Source organism: Homo sapiens, chromosome X (genome assembly GCF_000001405.40).
Source record: "Homo sapiens chromosome X, GRCh38.p14 Primary Assembly".
Lineage (NCBI taxonomy): Eukaryota > Metazoa > Chordata > Mammalia > Primates > Hominidae > Homo > Homo sapiens.
In genome coordinates, this window is record NC_000023.11 from 149,484,346 (window position 1) to 149,502,443 (window position 18,098).

Sequence of the window (18,098 nt, forward strand, 5' to 3'; positions counted from 1 at the left end):
CTAGCCCTGTCTCCAGGATGGAGTTCAGTGGCGCAATCTCGGCTCAGCTCACTGCAACCTCCGTCTCCCAGGTTCAAGTGATTCTCCTGCCTCAGCCTCCTGAGTAGCTGGGATTACAGGCATGCACCGCCACACCCAGCTAATTTTTGTATTTTTAGTAGAGATGGGGTTTCTCCTTGTTGGCCAGGATGGTCTTGATCTCCTGACCTCGTGATCCGCCCACCTTGGCCTCCCAAAGTGCTGGGATTACTGGCGTGAGCCACCACGCCCAGCCTTTCACAGCTTTTGTTGTTGTTTTTTATTAATAGCCATCCTAGTGGGTATGAAGTAGTATTTCATTGCGGTTCATCCATATTTAAAGTCTAAATACTGTACTTTATATTGATTCCTGTTAAAATTGCAATTGGATTTGCACTACCATTCTGGCCCTTCTGGATCTTTAAGACAGTGCTTTATCATGCTTGATTTCATTTTCTAGACACTTAATTTTTAAGTAAAATAAAAAGAAAACAAGTAAAGAAAGTTGAAAAAGGTACCTTTACAATGGCAAGATCTGGCTGATGCTAGCTAGCTCTTCAACCGAGTGTTCAAACTTACAATACTAGTAACGCTGGCCATGAAGTGCCCCCACCATGTGACACAATGGGAGAATACAACAGCCCATGTAGCACACGTGTCAAAAATGTTACCCTGAATGTAGTCATGTGGAAGCAATCAGATAAATCCAGGCTGTGGGACACTGTTATAGGACAACTGGCCTGGATACTTATAAAAAGATGAGGTCAGGGAGATAATGGGGCCAGAACATGTAAGGCCACTGTGACGACTTTTACTCAGATCAAGAAGGGTACATAAGAGGCTCCTGTGCCGGGCTGTGACATGACTTGACTTGGGTTTTAATGGAATCACTGTGGCTGCTCTGAGGAGGAAAACCTCCAAGGGATCCAGGGCACAAGCAAGGGGACCATTTAGCAAGCTCTTGCAGTACTTCAGCACAAGACAGTGGCAGTCTGGTCCAAGACAGTGGCAGGCGAAGTGGTGGGAAGTGGTACACAGAGTCTGAATGGAGTGTGACAGGCTTTCTCATAGACTGAATATTGCATATGGAGTAAGAGAAGAACAGGGGTTGAGATTATTCCATGATTTTTTGGCATGAGTGACTATTCTCATTTCTTGAGGACAAGAAGAGTGTTGAAGGAAAAGCTGAAGATGAAAGATGTGAAGTCCAGCTTTGGATATGTTAGGCTGGCTAAGTGGGAAAGACTATTGGAAACAAAAGTCTGAAGTTCAGGGAAAAGACACAGCTAGAGATAAAATTTGGAAATAAACTGAAAGGCCGTGCAGTTACATCAATTTCTAAATTGCTGAACACTTCCCAACAAAAGTTTCAGAAAAGATTCTCAACCAATCAGAAGATCTTTCCCAGCAAACAAAGGGCTAAAATCATGCCTTGAAACTGTTTAACCTTTCTATCAATGACATGAAAGAAGACAGGACATGCAGTGCACAAAAATCAAAGTGCAAAAAATAAAATTGGGTAGTATAAAGCAAGCTCAGAAAGATCCAGAAAGGCCCGAATGATGGTCCAGAACCAAGACAAATTTAAACAGGAATCAATATACAGTACAAGATTTAGATGTTAAGGATGGATTAAATGCTTAAGTCCAGAAAGGGGGCAATCTGGTTTAGCATAGTTCATAGAAGAGGCACTCCAAAAAGAGCAAACGTCATACGTCATTTCAGAGACAGTGTACAACCTGTCCCTGAAATGCACTGGGCAGATCAAGTCAGGATAGAACTCACAAGAACCCATACAGGTTGCCCACACATCCAGGAGGGGTATCTGGTCCAACTGGTATTCTGGAAGTGCTTTCTCAAACTGAAACTTTTTGGAAGACAGAGACCAGGACAACCACGCGTCTAAACACTACCTTGTGACGAATGGTTGAAGGGCTGGGGATTTCAGCCTAGAGAAGAGAAGATATTGGTGGATGGACAGGGTCGGGGGCATCAGTGCTGTTTTCAAAGCTTTGAAGGACTGGCACATGGAAGTCAAAGTAAACTTGCCCTTCACTGCTGGGGAGGGCAGAGTAGAATCACCTGGTAGATTTTACAGATCTAGTGGTTCACTAGATTGATGAGCTGTCAAAATGGAAAATGTGCCCCCCACAAAGAAGGCTGAGTCCCTACCAAAAGTGCGCATCGAGGGAAAGGATTCTCCTCGTCTGTTACGGGGGCAGCCCCTTACTCTAAGCTCTGGAGCAGGCTCTTGTAGACTGTACCACAGCCCTCCCCATCTTGGGGATGCACCTGTTCCTTTGTCCATCATCATCCCACAAGGCTCCTTGTGGACAGGGGCCATACTTGTCAATTCTGGTTCTGTCACTCTTTCCCCACCCAGAGTATGGGAGATGTTCAGAAAGCGTGTGCTGACCACAAAATGTTGAGAAGAAATTCCAACACAAGGCAGGAAGGGGGGGTCTGTGTAACCCCCAAAGCCTATGATTCAATAAAGTGGTTCACATATAAACTAAAGGTGATCTTACTGTCAAGCAATATCATTTCAGCATATTTTATACCTGGCTCCATCAACTGTGAGGCGGAATCAAAAGGGTCGAGGTAAGGGAAAAGCTTCTCGCCTGCCTCCGGAAGTGAAGCCGTCCTTCCAGGAACATAGAATATCAGGGGAACATGGGTAGCAACATCAAAATTGCTGTATTTGGCCCATTCTCCATGTTCACCTAGAGCCCACCCTAGTTCATAAAAAGCACAGAATGACAGAAAATGAATAATCATCATACCACAGCTTGTTTATTTTAGATACCATTTCATTTCCTGTTGTAAAAACCAGAGGAAGTAGAAACTCATCACCTAGAAGAAAAATATTCACTTGGAATTACCACAGAAAGGGTTATTTCAACTGAATGCTGCTTTATTCAAAATCAGGTATTTGTCCTCATGAGGAAACCTTTAAAAAAGAAAAAATAATTAAATTCCCAAACTCAAATATCTTAACAAACTACTAGCAACATATACCTAACGTAGGACTCTGTGGCGGTTCCCACACATGCGTTCCTCCCCTGCTAAGACATGCTCATTCTTGACAGGCTGGGAACCCTGAAAGCTGTAGTGTCACCACTGCCCTGTCCTGTGCCTACCTGTCTTTTGACTCATGCCCTACGAGGTCAGGTTTTCAGTTTGGGGTATGTGCCACCTAACAGTGAGCTGTGGAACTGCAACACACTCGGCAAATTCAAAAAAGACAAGGACATCTTCGTTGATTTTTAAGACATACCATAGATAGGGTAAACCAAAACCTCTCATTTCAGATCCTTAACCTCAATTAAAAACAACCCTTCATGCCTATTTAAAACATCCCTTGCAAAAGATGGTTTGAATATTCCAAGTTGGAAATACCCAGTCTTTTAAAGTTACAGCACCCTTTTTGATACAAAAAATGTGCATGACAGAAATTGTACAGTGAGTAGTGTTATAAAAATAACCAAACACACCAAAAGCTGCCACGGGTAAATTTGAGAAAGTGTTGAAATGTACCGCACAGCATGAGACCTTGCTGGCTCCGTCTAATAGATGACGCTGGGGCTGCAAATGATGTCCCAGCCTTCCAGGGCCTGTGGTCTCCAGAACAGGGCTGAAACCTGTTCTGAGTTGACAGTGCTTTCCCAAGGAGACCCCAAGTTGAGAGGACCCTCTTACCCACTCATCAATAATCAAAGCAGACTTGATGCCCATCAGAGATGCCCAATGATTCTGGTGAGCCGTTCCTCCCTCTGGCTGTCAGTACTGGGGAGTATGGTGGGGACTTTCAGATAGCTCAGTGGAGCTCAGAAAGAGAGGGAGTTCCCCCTGACACCCGCCCCAGTCAGTAAGCCCCGGGGCCTGAGGGGCATCCCCACTGCTCGACCTCTCCACTCTCTCGGGGAGGACGAGGCAGCCTTGACCCACGAGGGCTGATGAATGGGTAGGTTATCGGCAGGCTCCTAGGCCACCAGCTTAGAGGTCACATTGTCCCTTTTAGATTCAGTGTGGCGGGAATCTAAAAGGTCAAGGATCGAGAAGCCTGCAGGATGGCAACGTGAGGGAACCTGGCAGTGCGACCTCAGGAATCCACTCCCGGAACTCTGACTGGGGTGCCTGTGGAGGCTCTGAAGGTACAGCAGCCAGGCGCTCTGTGGCATTCTGAATACTGGCACGCAGCCTTCGGCCTCTGCCAGCTTTTGTGAGCTGCCCTGCACCAGGCAGAGGGGGCCCCCAGGCCTGGCACAGGGTCTGACACATGGCAAATGCTACAGAAATAGCTGTGGACCGCCTGACTGCAAGATCGTATTGAACATCTGGTGCCGGGCCTCAGCCTGTGCTGCTGCAGCCAGGAGCAAATACGGGGAAGTCTGGCTAAGGAGAACGCGTGCCTGTGTGGGCCCCAAGGATCCATCTCCAGATCAGGAGGAACAAGCCCGATGACCTTGACAGGCAGCTCAGGAGGTTTCTGGCTCCTGCCCCAGAGGCCCAAGATGAGGACGTGGCAACATAGGGAGGCCCAGGGAATGATGAGCTCAGGGAGAGGTGGCCAGACCACCTGAGACACCTGTTAAAGTGCACTTTCCCATGCCCAGAACTGCGAGCTCCTGAGACCAGTTGCAGAAACCAGCATGTTTTACTGGCTCCCAGGCGGTTCTGATGGAGGATGTCCCAGGAGGGGACTCTGAGATGGGCTATTTGTAATCTACGGCAACTGCCTCACAACAGAGTGTGTTCGTGGAGAAGAGGAAACTGGGCACCGAGGGCTCAGAAGCAGATGGCAGATAATCAGGAATATGTGAAAAATTATGGCACCTCCATATATAATAAAATATTACAGACATTTCTAAGGGAAAAGGTAGGCTTCTGAGAAATGACACAGAGATTGCCTATGACATTAAGTGTACAAAACCAGGGAACGTTAACAGTACACACAGAACAAGCAATCACATCTTGTGACATACATGTTACAAACATACACATGTATAACATATATCCCTGTGTGCATATGTGCACAACTGATGGCTGGCAGATGGATCCCTAATCCATTGTCATCTGTTAGCCCTGAGCAGGTGGGAGAAAAGGGCAGGATGTTCTGGCCCTGAATTACATGCTCTGTATCCTTTTTTCTTTTCATGATAAGCACATGTTATGATTTACTATTATCCTATTTCATATTTGATGATATGAAAATTATTTTCCTTTCTCTAAGTATAACAGTATTATGGTTATACTTCAAAAGAGGCAATATTTTTCAGAGACAGTGATCGGAAAATGGAACCATCTGGGATTTGCTTCGAAACAATTCAGAGATGGGGGAGTGGGTGAGGATGAGAGGAACAAGACTATGTGAGTGGGAAACGGGGGGAGCTGCTGTTTTATTCCCTGCTCTTGGAATGTTGAAGAATTTAAAAAATGCTTTTAAAAAGATAGTTTCATTTTTGGAAAAGTAGGAAACAGCCTTAGGGGGAGATAAAGACTTGAAAAGCCCAGGCTCTCGGCAGAGAAGACAGCGGGGATAGGGGTGGGAGGGCTGGAGCCAGGCGTGAAGAGCTTGCTGGGCTCTGCCAGGATTGTTCTGGATCCTCTCCACCCAAACTAAAAGTCCTCCAACCCTCCAGGTTAAAAATGGGGGTTACAAGAGCTCTGCCACACAAATGGAGGGTTCCTGCTGCATTCATCAAGAAAAAAAAAAAAGTTGCTGCAAGACCCTCCCCCACCCACCCACACCTATCCGTCAAGCATCTAAGACAGAGGTCTCAGGACTAACAAGCTGATCATAAAAATGCCCCAGGATCCCACTTTGTTTGTGAACCACTGGTTCACAAAAGAGAACACACCCATGTTTATGTCAATGGCAATTTTGCAAAGCATGTTTCACAGGAAAGTTCAGATGTTTTGACTCACCAGGGAATTTCAAAATGCTTACCATGATCCGAGGTAAATGCAATGATGGTGCTGTTGGCCAGCTGAAGATCGTCCAAAGCACTCAAGAGGCGGCCGACCTGTGTATCCAAATATGACACAGAGGCAAAGTAGCTCTGGCGGATTTTCCGCTGCAAATTGAAAAAAAATAAAAATGAGAGTGACTGCAATTTAAATTGCCAAGGCATACAGAGATAATGCTTGCCTGTGCATCTCTCCCAATCCCTACCCCTTAGTTGATGCCCTTAATGATTTTCTCAGCCAAAATGTAACACTCCTTTCCCTACCATCAGCATCACTTCACCCACAGAGTCACAGCAAAATCTGTAGGTCTACAAATAAGATACATTTCTAAGCAAATCAGATTTCACTTTAGGGCACAGATCACAGTGGATGAATGTGTCACCTACTGCTCTGTTGTTTTAAGCTGAAATGTATTGTCTCCTAGCTCTGGAGGCTAGAAGTCCAAGATCAAGGTGCTGGGAGGGCCATTCTCTCCCTGAAGGCTCTAAGTAGAAGAATCTTGCCTCTCCCTAGCTGGTGGTGGTGGCTGTCAGTCCCTGGCATTCCTCAGCTTGCAGCTGTATCACTGTGTCTCCATCTTCATGTGTTCTTCCCGTGTCTCTCTCCCCTCTTCTTAAAGGACACCGATCATATTGGATTAGGAGCCCACCTTACTCCAATATGACCTGATCTTAACTAATTACATCTGCAATAAACCTATTTCCAAATATGGTTACATTCAGCAGTACTGGGGGGTTAGGATGTCAACAGCCCTTTTCAGGGAAAAAAAAATTCATAATTTAACACATAACAGCAACCCTGACTGAGCCTTTCCCTCTGATCACTTGCTAACCCAACAGCAGATTACAACTGCATATCTTCATGAACTATGGCCGTTACGTGGAGCTCATTTCTAACAAACTGTCAGCAGGCAGGAGAAGAGCAAAGGAGATACCAGAGAGCAGCACGTCCTTCACAGTCCCTGAACCCAAGAGGCACTTTGGGAACAGCCAGATCATGCCCTGAAGTAAATGAGCCACCGGCCCCTCCTGGGCTGACTCTCATTCCCAACCTGGTTCACAAATGCTAAGGACAAAAATTAATCTTCCACCCCAAAGAGGGGTGAGAAGAGAGCCGTGTCTTCGCAGACCAGCCCCTGACTTATCAGCTGGACCCACCAGCTTCTTCTCATCACTGCCAGGGTGAGGACAATCATGAGACTCACCCGTTCTCACTTGCAGTCAAGAGAAAAGATATACATCTAGCCTTCCAGCAGGATTATGCTGAGCCCTGGCCTACTTATACTTTCTGGTAGATGAAGTCTTCAGTCTGAAACCTGTGGAACTTTGGTCCTCCTGGGGATGAAAGACACCTGTCAGGATGGCTATGTCCTATACAAAGGTATTCCCTCCTTCCTATGCTAGCCCCTGGACGTAAGGCAATAAGCAGACAAGGTCCTCACCCTTGATGAGCCACCCCATCCAGTGAGGACACAATCATGGAGACAAGAAAATGCTTAATTATCAGTGAGGCCTGCTGGGTCTGTCCTGCAGACCCTGGCCTATGGATGAAATGAGTACTCAGACACAGGTATGCAGCATAAGAGCAGCTAGGTTACTGCCTGGCTCTAGTGGCCAGAGAGCAGCCCCGAGAAGCTGGAGCTGCTGGCTTTTATTCAGTGCAGGCATAATGCCAAAAACCTAGAGCCAACCTGCAGGTAATTAACATTTATTGTTCCCCTTTCAGGGAACCTCACAAGCACAGACGATCAAAGGTCAGTTCCTGGTCAACATAAGTAAACAAGCCTGTTTAAGATAAATTCTCCCACACTCCCTTGTACCTACTCCTTGCCCTCTGCCTCAGGGTTATAGAACAGCTATTCTCCCCTGGGGCTCTGCAGAACCTTCTGACCTTTCAGAAGGTTTGCATCCTTTCCCTATAGTTTTTCCCACCACTCTGACCGATCCCCCACAGAGGCCCAGGGGTGACACAGGGGAATAAGCCCTCAAATCTGCCTGGGAGATTCAGGGAAGGCTTCACAGAGGAGTTAGAATTTGACAAGAAGCACCTGCAGTCAGACAAATGGGGCTCAGATGCTCCAAGCAGGGGCTGCAGGGCACGGAACAGTGTGGAGTTGTGACAGAGCAGGTTGCATTTGGGGCCAATGAAAGGCCCATGTGACTGGAGAATCAAATGGGAGGGCAGAGGGGTGACTAGAAAGTTAGGTCCGGGCCAGATAATATGGACCTGGTGGGTCTATCCAGGGAGTGGAGACTCCAAGTTCTAGGCCAATGGAGTCACTGAGGTCTTTCAAGGCGAGAAATTGACATGATCTGGGCTTCAAGTTATTAAGAGTCCTGTTGCAACAGGACACAGACACAGATTCCAGAGGCTTTAGACAAAATGGTACTAGGCCACTGCTGGGTACATAAGAGGTGCTCACTACACTTGCTGAATGAACAAAACAAAGCAAGGCCCACTGAGGTGGTCCAGAACAATGTGCTGAAGGATCCAGAGGACTGTGTGGATGTGAGAGGAATTCAGGGGCATCAAGCAGACATGGGGGCAGGGAGCAGAGGAGGAGGAGGTGTTGAGGAACCCAAGGGTGACTCCAGGTTTCACATTCAGCTGGTGGCATAATTCGCTGGCATTTGGGGGCAGGGGGCGCAAGAGGAGGAGGAGGAAGGAGAAAAGGCAGGGCAGGGGTGGTGGCCTGACCACGCGGAAGCCTATGGAGCTGAGGTCTCCAGGGTCATCTGCCTAGGAATGGCTCTCACAGGCAGGTCAACACACATATCTGAAAATCAGGAGAGACCTGGGCTGAAGGGGTAGTTCTGGAGTCATCTGCCAAGGCTCAACTGAGCCCAGCAGGGGAAGAAGAGGTGGAAAGGATATAGTGGGGGGCCTGGGAAGTGGCACCTAAGTGGCAGACACAGAAAGGATTGGGAGGCCAACAGTCCCAGAAGGGGTGGAGCTGGCCAACAGTGAGGAAGTGACACAGAGCTCAAGGAAGGTCAGGACCTACACAGATAGATTTTACTGGCCACCAAGGTCAGTGCTGAGGTGAGAGTTTAGTGGATTGGGGAGGTGGAAGCCTGTGTAGAGGATGGTGAAGAACAAATGGACAATGAGGCCACAGACACAGCCAGAACAGCCCAGTGTGCACTCGCTCTGCCTTGGAGGTCAGGTGAAGGAGTGGAAAGCAGAAACAGGCAGGGGCAAGGGGGCTGGCACTTTTGCAGCTGGGAGGGATGAGAGTGGATGGAGAGGCTGCAGGGTAGGTAGGTGAGAAGGAAGATCTTGCTCATTCTGCTTGCAGACGTGGGAAGCAGGGACAGTGGTGGGGAGTTGAGGGAAGAGGCCTCGAGCCCAGAACATGCATACACAAAATTCCAGGTCTCAGTGACAGAGATTATTAATAGAGCCCATTCAGCAAGTACACACTAGGTGGCATCTGATCCTGTGAACGGCACATTAAGGACTCCAAGACTCAGAAAGGTTAACTTGCCCAGAGTCACACAGCTGATAAGGGGCACAGCCAGGATGCGTACCCACATCCACCCTGTCCGATCCCCTACCTCTGGCTGTCCACCAGCTTCCATTTCTACAAGAGGAAAGGTGCTATCCACTGAGAAATGGGGCACAGGGGTGGCAAAGGCCTGGAGGGGAGCAGTGAAAGGGAGTAGAGAAGAGGTCATGCAAACGGAGCAGCTGCAGAGGACAAGTGAGGTGAGCTGAGCAGAGAGCTTGCCTGGGCTGCTGGGGCTGGAGGCGGGGCATCTGAGGGCCTCCCTGCTTCGTGGGGGCATGGATTTTCTCCAGCAGCTTTCAGGACTTGGACTACAGAGCAGAGGGTGTGGCTGGAGTGTCTGACGATAAAGGTACTGCAGGAGGGGCAAGGATAAATGGACAAGTATGGTGAGCTGGGCGGCTGGGAAGTACAGTAAGTCACCTGCCACCAGGCCTTAGCTATTTAGGGAAGCAACAAAGCCAACAGGACCTGGACACAAGGGGGAGATAGAAATCCATACTCTAGCAATCCCCGTGAGGTAGAGCAAGGGAAGTGCTAGGAGAAGAGGTTGTGGTCAGTATGGTGACTCGGAAGGAGCAGGCAACAAACTCCTGAGTGTGGCCCCTGAGGTCACTGGCTCATGTAGAGCTGAGTTAGAGGGCTGGAGCTGAAGAGATCCCAGAGCTGAGTCTCAAGGGTGCAGTGAGATGGGCTTGGATGCGGACATCCAAAGCTACAAGAGGACAGTGAGCAGGCCAGAGTTCAAGGGGAACACAGGGCTGAGACCAGCACATGCAGGCATCAGGGAGGCCCTCTGAGTCATGCTGTCCACTGTGTGTAAGGAGGGGACTAAGAGAACTTGAAGGAGATAGCTCCGTGCAGCCGACACGGTCCTAGATACTTCTACATGCTCTCTTTGGTTCTTGCTGAAAATCTCTAAAGTAGGTGTTATCATGGAAAAACTTTACCTACCTTGTTTCAGTTTTATAGAGAAGAAAACTCAGGGAGGCTCAGGGAGGTAACATGACTTGACAGAGGTTAGGCAGCTGGTATGAGGTAGAACATGAATTCGAACCCACACTGCTGGGAACCAACAGATCCAACCATGGGGCTTTGGAGTTACAGTCCCTGGGGATGAATTGGCTCCACCCAGCACTAATTTTGTGCTGTCAGACAAGTCAGCACACCTCCCATGCCTTGAGTTTCCTCACCTAGACAACAGAGAGCAGGTACCTCACTAAGTCCCCATGAGGACTAAAGGCGATACCACACATGAATCAGCGCCCTTCCTGGCACACAGTCCATTTTGAAGGGTCATTTTAAGTGACCATCACTAATAAAGCATCCAGGTGCAGCCTCAGAGCCAGTTCAAGCCACTTCACCATCAGGAGCCCAGAAACACAAAATTAGAAAACAAACAGATGGATGCATTGCTTTCCAAACTCTCAGTGAAACAGGAATCAAATACATTTGAGGAATGTACACCTCTCACCAACCAAACTCTTGTTGTGCAAACTCAGGGGCCAAGTAAGTTTGGATAGCAAGGGATATCTGTATGCAGTGGTTTTGTTCTGTGTTTGCTTTAAACAATACTCTACAGCAGAGGCTCTCAAACTTCTGATGAATCAGAATCACCTGGTGTGCTTTTTTTTTTTTTTTTTAAGAAATGTCGGTTGTCAGGTCAAGTTCCACCTCCAGCTTCCAATTGTGTAAATCTGAGTGGGCCAAGACTTTGCATTTCCAACAAGCCCTCCCAGAAATTCTAAGGCAGGTAGTCCAGGATGCACACTTTGAAAACACTGCCATCTTCCATCCGCTATAGCTTGCCTGCCACAGCATTCATGTGGTAAGAGAAGGGCAGGGTTCTGTGTGGAATATTCCAGAAAGAGCATTAGTCAATGTGTATTCTGCTCTCCAGGGAGAAAGGGTGACTGATGAGTCAGTGTGAGGATTCTAATTGTGTGGTTGCTCCGCCCCTAAATCATGGCAAAGGAATGCCGGACATCACAGCTGGGTGGCACTGGCCATGATGGTGTCCCAGTTCCCTCTGCACCAAGGGCCTGTTCACCAAGCCACCCCCTGAGAGTGACAGCTAGCCAGGATGGGCTTTCCCACAGAGGGAACCTGCAAGTACCAGCAAACCAAGCATTCTGGGCTGCTCGGGAGTTGCCCATCACTCTACAATTAATGAGCTGTCACCTGAACAGTATCCCCTGGGTTAGGAACGGTCACCCAGGCTGGTTCCCCACCTCTGTGTCCACACACAACAAGTCACCAACTCTCTGGACATTCCCTTCTTTAGAAAGTAAGACACTGGTTGGGAGAGTCCTGATCCAGGCAACACTGCCTGTGTCCTAAATACCTATAGGACACCTCCACCCCAGCACTTTGCCTGATAACTCACACAAAGAAAGCTCTTAATAAGACATTATAGGTGGAGTTGTGTCTACTGAGAAGAGTGGTTTCACCTACGACACTATGTCATCAGTGTCCAATACATCCCCAAACTATGTCCTTGATACCTGAAAGTCCACAGGAATTGGACCATACGGCACACTGATGTTTAAGGCTTGGACGTCTTCCCGTTGCCTGATGTCCATCCAGGGGTTGTAGGCCACAGGGGGTAGGCCATCAGGGACCTCGGGATCGGGGGCCAGGGTGATGTTCTCCAAGGGATACAACTTCTGAAATTCCTTGGGGAAAAACACAAAGCCACAAAGTTGTCACTCTTTTAGCAAAAGCACAAGCTTGTGGCTCTATCACTGTCTATACTGCCTTTTCTCTAAGCCTGGGATGCATTTGAGTGGTGGCTCACTAGCATTCCCCACGTGCTCGGCCCTGACCTGGAAGTCCAGCCTTAAGTTACTCTCATGAGATGCCAATGGCAATGAAATCATACGACTTCTGTTTCCTACAAACTGAGCAGCAACAACTCTCTTCCTTCATACAAACAGACGCCCTTCTGTTCCTGTCCCCACCTCCTGCCTGGCTAGAAAAGTGTGGTGAGGTGTTGGGTTCCCAAAACCACCCTCAGGTTCAGCAATTCACTAGGGGAACTCATAGGATTCAGCATTTAGTCTCACTCACAGCTATGACTTATTACAGTGAAACACACTCAGCAAAGAAAAAAGGCACATGAGGCAAAGTCTAGAGGAAACTAGGCACAAGCTTCAAGTCCTCTTCCAGGGAAGTCACATAGGATACTTACTTCTCCCAGCAACGAGTTGTGTGACAATACATGTGAAATGCTGCTAACTAGGGAAGCTCATTAAAGCCTCATTATCCAGTTTTTATTTGGGGCTGGTCAGGTAGGTACTATCTGTCTGGAACATATCAAAATTCCAGGCTCCCAGAAAAAAAAAAACAAACCCAGGGGTTTATCATCAACCATAATGTTTGTCTAAACGGTTTAAGCATAGTAAGCCAATTCTGGGAATAGTGAGAACACTTCAGAAATCAAAGTTCCCAGATGCCAGCCAAGGGCTAGACTTATAAGCAGGCCTTTCAAAGAATCACAGCCAGGCCAGCTTTGTTAACTGTTTTCTGCAAAGAGGCAGGAGAGGTGAACCTCACAGCCTTCTTCTATCAAGGGGGCTGACAGCTCCTACTAGGAAAGCAAGATCCCCTGGGCCAATCAAAGCAAGATACCTGCAACATCAAAGAGCATACTGCTGGTCTCTACTCTCATTACATGTGAGGGGCATTCTCTGCAAAGTCAAAAGGATGGGATGCTCAGGCCCTCATAAAACATGATAGGGAAAAATGGAAAAGGATTCTAAAACAGAAAAGACTACATGCTCTAAATGACATACAAGCAAGTACAGGATTTGAGGTTCCAAGAAGCAATGCAGTGCTTTGTGTTTAGATGATCTAACCTGACAGGCTCAGGGGGAACAGGCAGTTTTTGAAGAGAGTTTCACATTCCCTGGGGCTGTTTTGGAAGGGCCATCCCTTATTACAGGCTTTGGCAGCCAGCTCTGATTCACTACTCTGTGGTGATCTCACCATCCAACCCAACATCTGCTCAATAAGTTCAAGGAAAGGAAATCAAACCCTCCAGTGGAGTGAAGCGGAAAGCCAAGCATTTCTTACAAGATTCTTACATGTTCTTGGCCTTGACCTCTAAATCCCATCTTTACTCCACTGAGGACACTAGTGCCCATCAGGCAACCATGGTGCCTGGCGATGGCAGGATGTAGCCACCTTCCCTGTGCAAATCCCTCCCTCAACAAACAACACAGCTGTCACAGCTGTGCTGGATCAGCCCTCAACCAGCTCTTCACCTTGGGGTATCTGAAGGGGATGTGTGGCTTATGATACCCAACGGCCAGGAAGAAAGGACTGGCTGACGTTTTCATCTTTTCCAACAACTGTATGGCTTGCTCAGTGCTCTGTTTGTCAGGCAAGGTGCCCTCGGGAACATCCAGCACATCCACAGGGCAAAGCAGGTTGGCATGGAGTTCTCCATCTGGCCCTCGACATGTCTTTCAAAACAAAATAATATAACATCAGCTTTTTAAGTGCAAGAAATGAAGCCATGAAGGCTACACACACAGATTTAATGTTCACATAATCAGCCCTTCACGTGTTAGTCACTCAGACTGAACAGAGACATCAGAAGTAGAACTAAGACAGAAAAGGTGTTTCTTGTTTTCCAGGCAGGGGCCAGAAATCCACTAGCACTTGGTTTCTTGCTACTAATACTCTTTCTCCAGATCATAACTAATTAAAAGAAACCCCGATAGACTAATTATAAAAAAAAATCCATCTCTAATTCAACAATTAAAAAATGCCAATTAAAAATGGGCAAAGGATTTGGATAGACATTTCTCCAAAGATGATATACAAATGGCCAATTGAACATGGAAATGTGGCTAACATCATTAGTCATTAGGGAAATGCAAATCAAAACCACTTCACACCCAAAAGGATGGTTATAATTTTTTAAGATGGAAAATAACAAGTGTTGACGAGGATGCAGAAAAATTAGAACCCTCTCACATTGCTGGTGGGAATGTAAAATAGTGCAGCCACTTTGAAAGCCAGTCTGGCAATTCCTCAAACAGTTAAACATAGTTATTATACCCAAAAAAATTAAAAACATATGCCCATAAAAACACTTGTACAAAAATGTCGAGGGCAGCATTATTCCTAATAGTCAAAAGTAGAAACAACCCAAATATCCATCAAGTGATGAACTGATAAACAAAATGTGGTACAATAGACAATTATGCAGCCATAAAAAGGAATGAAAGGCTGGGTGCGGTGGCTCACACCTCTAATCCCAGCACTCTGGGAGATGAGTGGATTGCCTGAGGTAAGGAGTTCGAGACCAGCCTGACCAACATGGTGAAACCCCGTCTCTACTAAAAATACAAACATTAGCTGGGTGTGGTGGTGGGCACCTGTAATCCCAGCTACTCGGAAGGCTGAGGCAGGAGAATCATCGCTTGAACCTGGGAGGTGGAGGCTACAGTGAGCTGAGATTGCGCCATTGCACTCCAGCCTGGGTGACAAGAGTGAAACTCCATCTCAAAAAAAAAAAAAAAAAGGAATGAAGTACCAATTTATACTGTTATGTGGCTGAACCTCAAAAACATTATTCTAAGTGAAAGAAGCCAGAAACAAATGGCTACATAGTGTATGACTCTATTTATACCAAATGGACAAAATAGGCAAATCCATGGAGACCAAAAATAGTTCAGTTGTTGTCCCACGCTGGGTGCTGAGACAAAATGAGGAACGACTGGTAATGGGTACAGGGTTTCTTTTGAGAGCGATAAAAATGATCTAAGATCGATTTGGGTGATGGCTGCATAGCTCCGTGAGTATGCTAAAAACCATTAAATTATATACTTCAAAAGGGAGAGTTTTATGGTATATGAACTCTATTTTAATTAAAAATTTAAAAAGAAAAAAAAAACCCATTTCAAATTTCAAAGACAGGCTAAGGCTTGTAAGTGACAGGGTCCCAATCAACTTGATAAGGTGACAGTCCATGGAATTTCCAGAACTTCAGCTACACTAGGCACAGAATGAAACCTCCTGCTTTGCTTCCTAAAGTAGACATGCTGGCCGTGAGACCAAAGTTAGTTCTGACCATGATTTGTATACCACAAAGACCGAGGGGCTGTGTCAGCTGCTGTTCCATCTCAAAGAGTGTTGCCTTTTCACAGCCCTGCCTTGCTCACCCCACCCTTGGGCAGGACAGCCCAGCACCCGCCTCAGACCACTTGTTCATCATCTATATATACACGATTTGCAGCACTCGAGGGAGATTTAGTATTGTCAGACCCACCACTTTGAGAAGAAATGGGTAGGGGGCAGTTAGGGCAGGGACCTGGCATTCGTAAGTGAGGCCACTAAAAAGAAGCAAGATGGCTTCAGGGAATTAAGATGGGATCTTCCCTATTCAAGCCACAAGCCAAAGGCCAGAGCTCACAGTTTTCACTGTATTCTGAAATGGAAAGCTGTCAAGAACTTAGAACAATACCTTCCACCTCACTTCCAAATCCTCACCCTTCCCAACACGATGTTTACTAAAACCTCAGAGATACATTTCATGTCTCAGTTCCCTAGCTGGTTTTCTGAGTTTCTTAAATGTGGGTTTTAGTTTCATTTATACATTTGGGATTCCTCTAAACCAAGATTTTCTTTGTAGGTTACTTTTTTTCATAATGCTCTAAAAATTCAAAACCCCTATCAGAGGTCTCAGCTGCTGAACATACACATTAGGTCAGAGACAGATACACGGCATGCCTTTCTCCCATTCTGGGCTGAGGCTCCTGGAGCTCAGCCTCTTTTCTCCCTCCCATGTCTCAGCATCTCCTACAACTCTCAGTCTCATCCAGCGTGAGCACTGGGGAGCTATTCAATGAGTCTGACACGTTAGAGCCCAAGGTTTTAGAACAAGTAGCACCCACCAGCTTCTAGAATGAAGCCACTGCTCCTGTCGGGCCTAATGCTGAAGATCCCAACACTTACTTCTGTCAAAACATTATCACAAATGAAACCCACAACTTCGTGGTATATAACCAGCTTCACAGAACATGCAGTATACCCAGTAGTTTATGTGACAAAGGAAAAAGTGGTTCCTCTTCAGAAATGTCCCTTTCACAGCCTTACCTTAGTGTTTTCATACTTCTCAGAGGAAGGATGATAAGGTGGAAAAGACCAGCTATACGGAGAATCATCGGTATGGTTAGAAGATATCCCTTGGAAAAAAAAAAAGGTTGTTAAAACATGATGAGTCTTTCAACACCCCACTCCCCATAATTAAAACTCTGTAAACAAATGGGCAAGTGGAACCTCCCTTCTTTGGGGCTCAGTTTCCTCATCTACAAAAGGTCCCCTCTAAAGCCAAACTCTCTAGTTTCTATTTGAGAACTAAGCATCTGACTTCCTGGTCCCTAAGCCCTGATGATTTGTGCTAGGCTCTGTGGAAGGGACCCACAAGGACAAGATCAGTCAGCTCCTTAGAGCCCATGCTGAAACCTATCTCTCACCCTATGAAGGAGGCAGCAGAGGCATCAGCACCATCAGGGAGCCGATGGGGGCAGGAGAGGGAGGCTCAGGGAAGGTATGTGACTTACCTATGCTAACCAGATATTAGATAAGGGAGCCAGGACTCAAAACCTTGTTTTAGAATTCCAAGTTCAAGTGCTCATTCATGAAGCAGAAACCCACCCTTAAGCTTAGTAGTTTATAGTTTATTTGTGAAGACAGTATAACAGCACTGGAAACCAAGGAAGGACTTCCAGCTTTCAAAAGCATCGAAGTGCCAAGTGGGGGATCCTCCAAGCACAGAGGTTATTGTGAGTCAGGTGAGGACTGGCAGGGAGGACTTCTAGGAGCCAGTGAGGCCTGTGAGGGATCTGAAGGGAAGTGCTGCCTATAGTGGTTAGCTGGGAGTGGAGGGGATCACAGGCAGAACCTCGTGAGAAAGCATCAGCAGCAGTCACACAGTGGGACTCCCATAGGGAGTACCAGAAGAGACAGGAATGGAGAGAAAGAGGGCAGCGGGTGGAGGGCCTATGAAGACAGCAAGCACTGTGGAAAGAGCACACAGGAAGCCAACAACCACAGGTCCAAATCCTGATGCTGCCTCTTAGCATCCTTGCAACCTCTGGCAAGCTACTTGACTCCCATGAGCCTTCATGTCTTCCTTGGGAAATGATGATGATGATAAAAACCCACCTTGCTTGCTGTTGGGAGGATTAAAGGAGTGGCCAGCATGGTAAACGGTACATACCTGGCACACAGTGGTGGCTACTGTCATCTTGAAGCAGGCCCAATGCTAACAGAAAAAGGTCTTGAGAACAAAGATTCAGCTGAAAAATGTGTTCCCACAAGGGCTGCAGGGAAAGGTTTATTCTCTGAGAAGGACATGGTGCTTAGAGCCTGGTGCCAAAATCCAATCATCAGGAGGGAGGAGGTCAAGCAACATCACTCAGTCCTTGCCTGGTTTCCCCTCCCAAAGCACAATCTCCTCCCTCTGCTGTGTTTCCTCCTCTCTCCAAAATCATCACTTCCCTCCAGCTGCATTTGGGCAAGGGGTATGGTAATGAGAACACCAAACTGCAGAAAGTTCTCCTGACACTGGACTTTTGGCTGTGCAATA

At 47.0% G+C, this 18,098-nt stretch overlaps 1 protein-coding gene across 4 annotated transcripts in view, besides 7 other annotated features; it reads right to left on the bottom strand.

Moving 5' to 3' along the window:
• Positions 1–18,098, bottom strand: part of IDS (iduronate 2-sulfatase) — a 28,319-nt gene that overhangs the window by 7,358 nt on the left and 2,863 nt on the right. For 2 of the 4 annotated variants that reach the window (NM_001166550.4, NM_000202.8), the window contains exons 4-8: positions 16,604–16,692; positions 13,762–13,962; positions 12,001–12,171; positions 5,969–6,095; positions 2,580–2,753 (exon numbers count right to left, since the gene is read on the bottom strand). In NM_001166550.4, the coding sequence (NP_001160022.1) occupies positions 2,580–2,753; positions 5,969–6,095; positions 12,001–12,171; positions 13,762–13,962; positions 16,604–16,692 (762 nt within the window). Of the gene's footprint in view, positions 1–2,579; positions 2,754–2,785; positions 2,969–5,968; positions 6,096–7,192; positions 7,323–12,000; positions 12,172–13,761; positions 13,963–16,603; positions 16,693–18,098 lie in introns of those variants that run through there. The other 2 variants (NR_104128.2, NM_006123.5) reach the window with 2 other exon arrangements.
• Positions 2,400–4,726: a meiotic recombination region, noted in NCBI's record as "meiotic double-strand break mapped by DNA meiotic recombinase 1 chromatin immunoprecipitation followed by single-stranded DNA enrichment and sequencing in the germ cells of some male individuals with PRDM9 A/A, PRDM9 A/B and PRDM9 A/C genotypes". NCBI's record gives the evidence for it as "EXISTENCE:chromatin immunoprecipitation-seq evidence [ECO:0000229][PMID:25395542]".
• Positions 2,400–18,098: part of a biological region, named in NCBI's record as "IDS recombination region", that runs on past the window's edge. NCBI's record gives its function as "recombination_partner: LOC106050103".
• Positions 3,349–18,098: part of a non allelic homologous recombination region, noted in NCBI's record as "sub-region b, recombines with sub-region b' within the IDSP1 recombination region", that runs on past the window's edge. NCBI's record gives the evidence for it as "EXISTENCE:nucleotide sequencing assay evidence [ECO:0000219][PMID:9801874]".
• Positions 3,363–3,842: a non allelic homologous recombination region, noted in NCBI's record as "sub-region a1, recombines with sub-region a' within the IDSP1 recombination region". NCBI's record gives the evidence for it as "EXISTENCE:nucleotide sequencing assay evidence [ECO:0000219][PMID:9097969]".
• Positions 3,843–4,068: a non allelic homologous recombination region, noted in NCBI's record as "sub-region a2, recombines with sub-region a' within the IDSP1 recombination region". NCBI's record gives the evidence for it as "EXISTENCE:nucleotide sequencing assay evidence [ECO:0000219][PMID:9097969]".
• Positions 9,950–10,957: a meiotic recombination region, noted in NCBI's record as "meiotic double-strand break mapped by DNA meiotic recombinase 1 chromatin immunoprecipitation followed by single-stranded DNA enrichment and sequencing in the germ cells of some male individuals with the PRDM9 A/C genotype". NCBI's record gives the evidence for it as "EXISTENCE:chromatin immunoprecipitation-seq evidence [ECO:0000229][PMID:25395542]".
• Positions 10,482–10,497: a nucleotide motif, noted in NCBI's record as "nucleotide motif; similarity to the predicted 16-mer PRDM9 C-type binding motif, CCNCNNTNNNCNTNNC".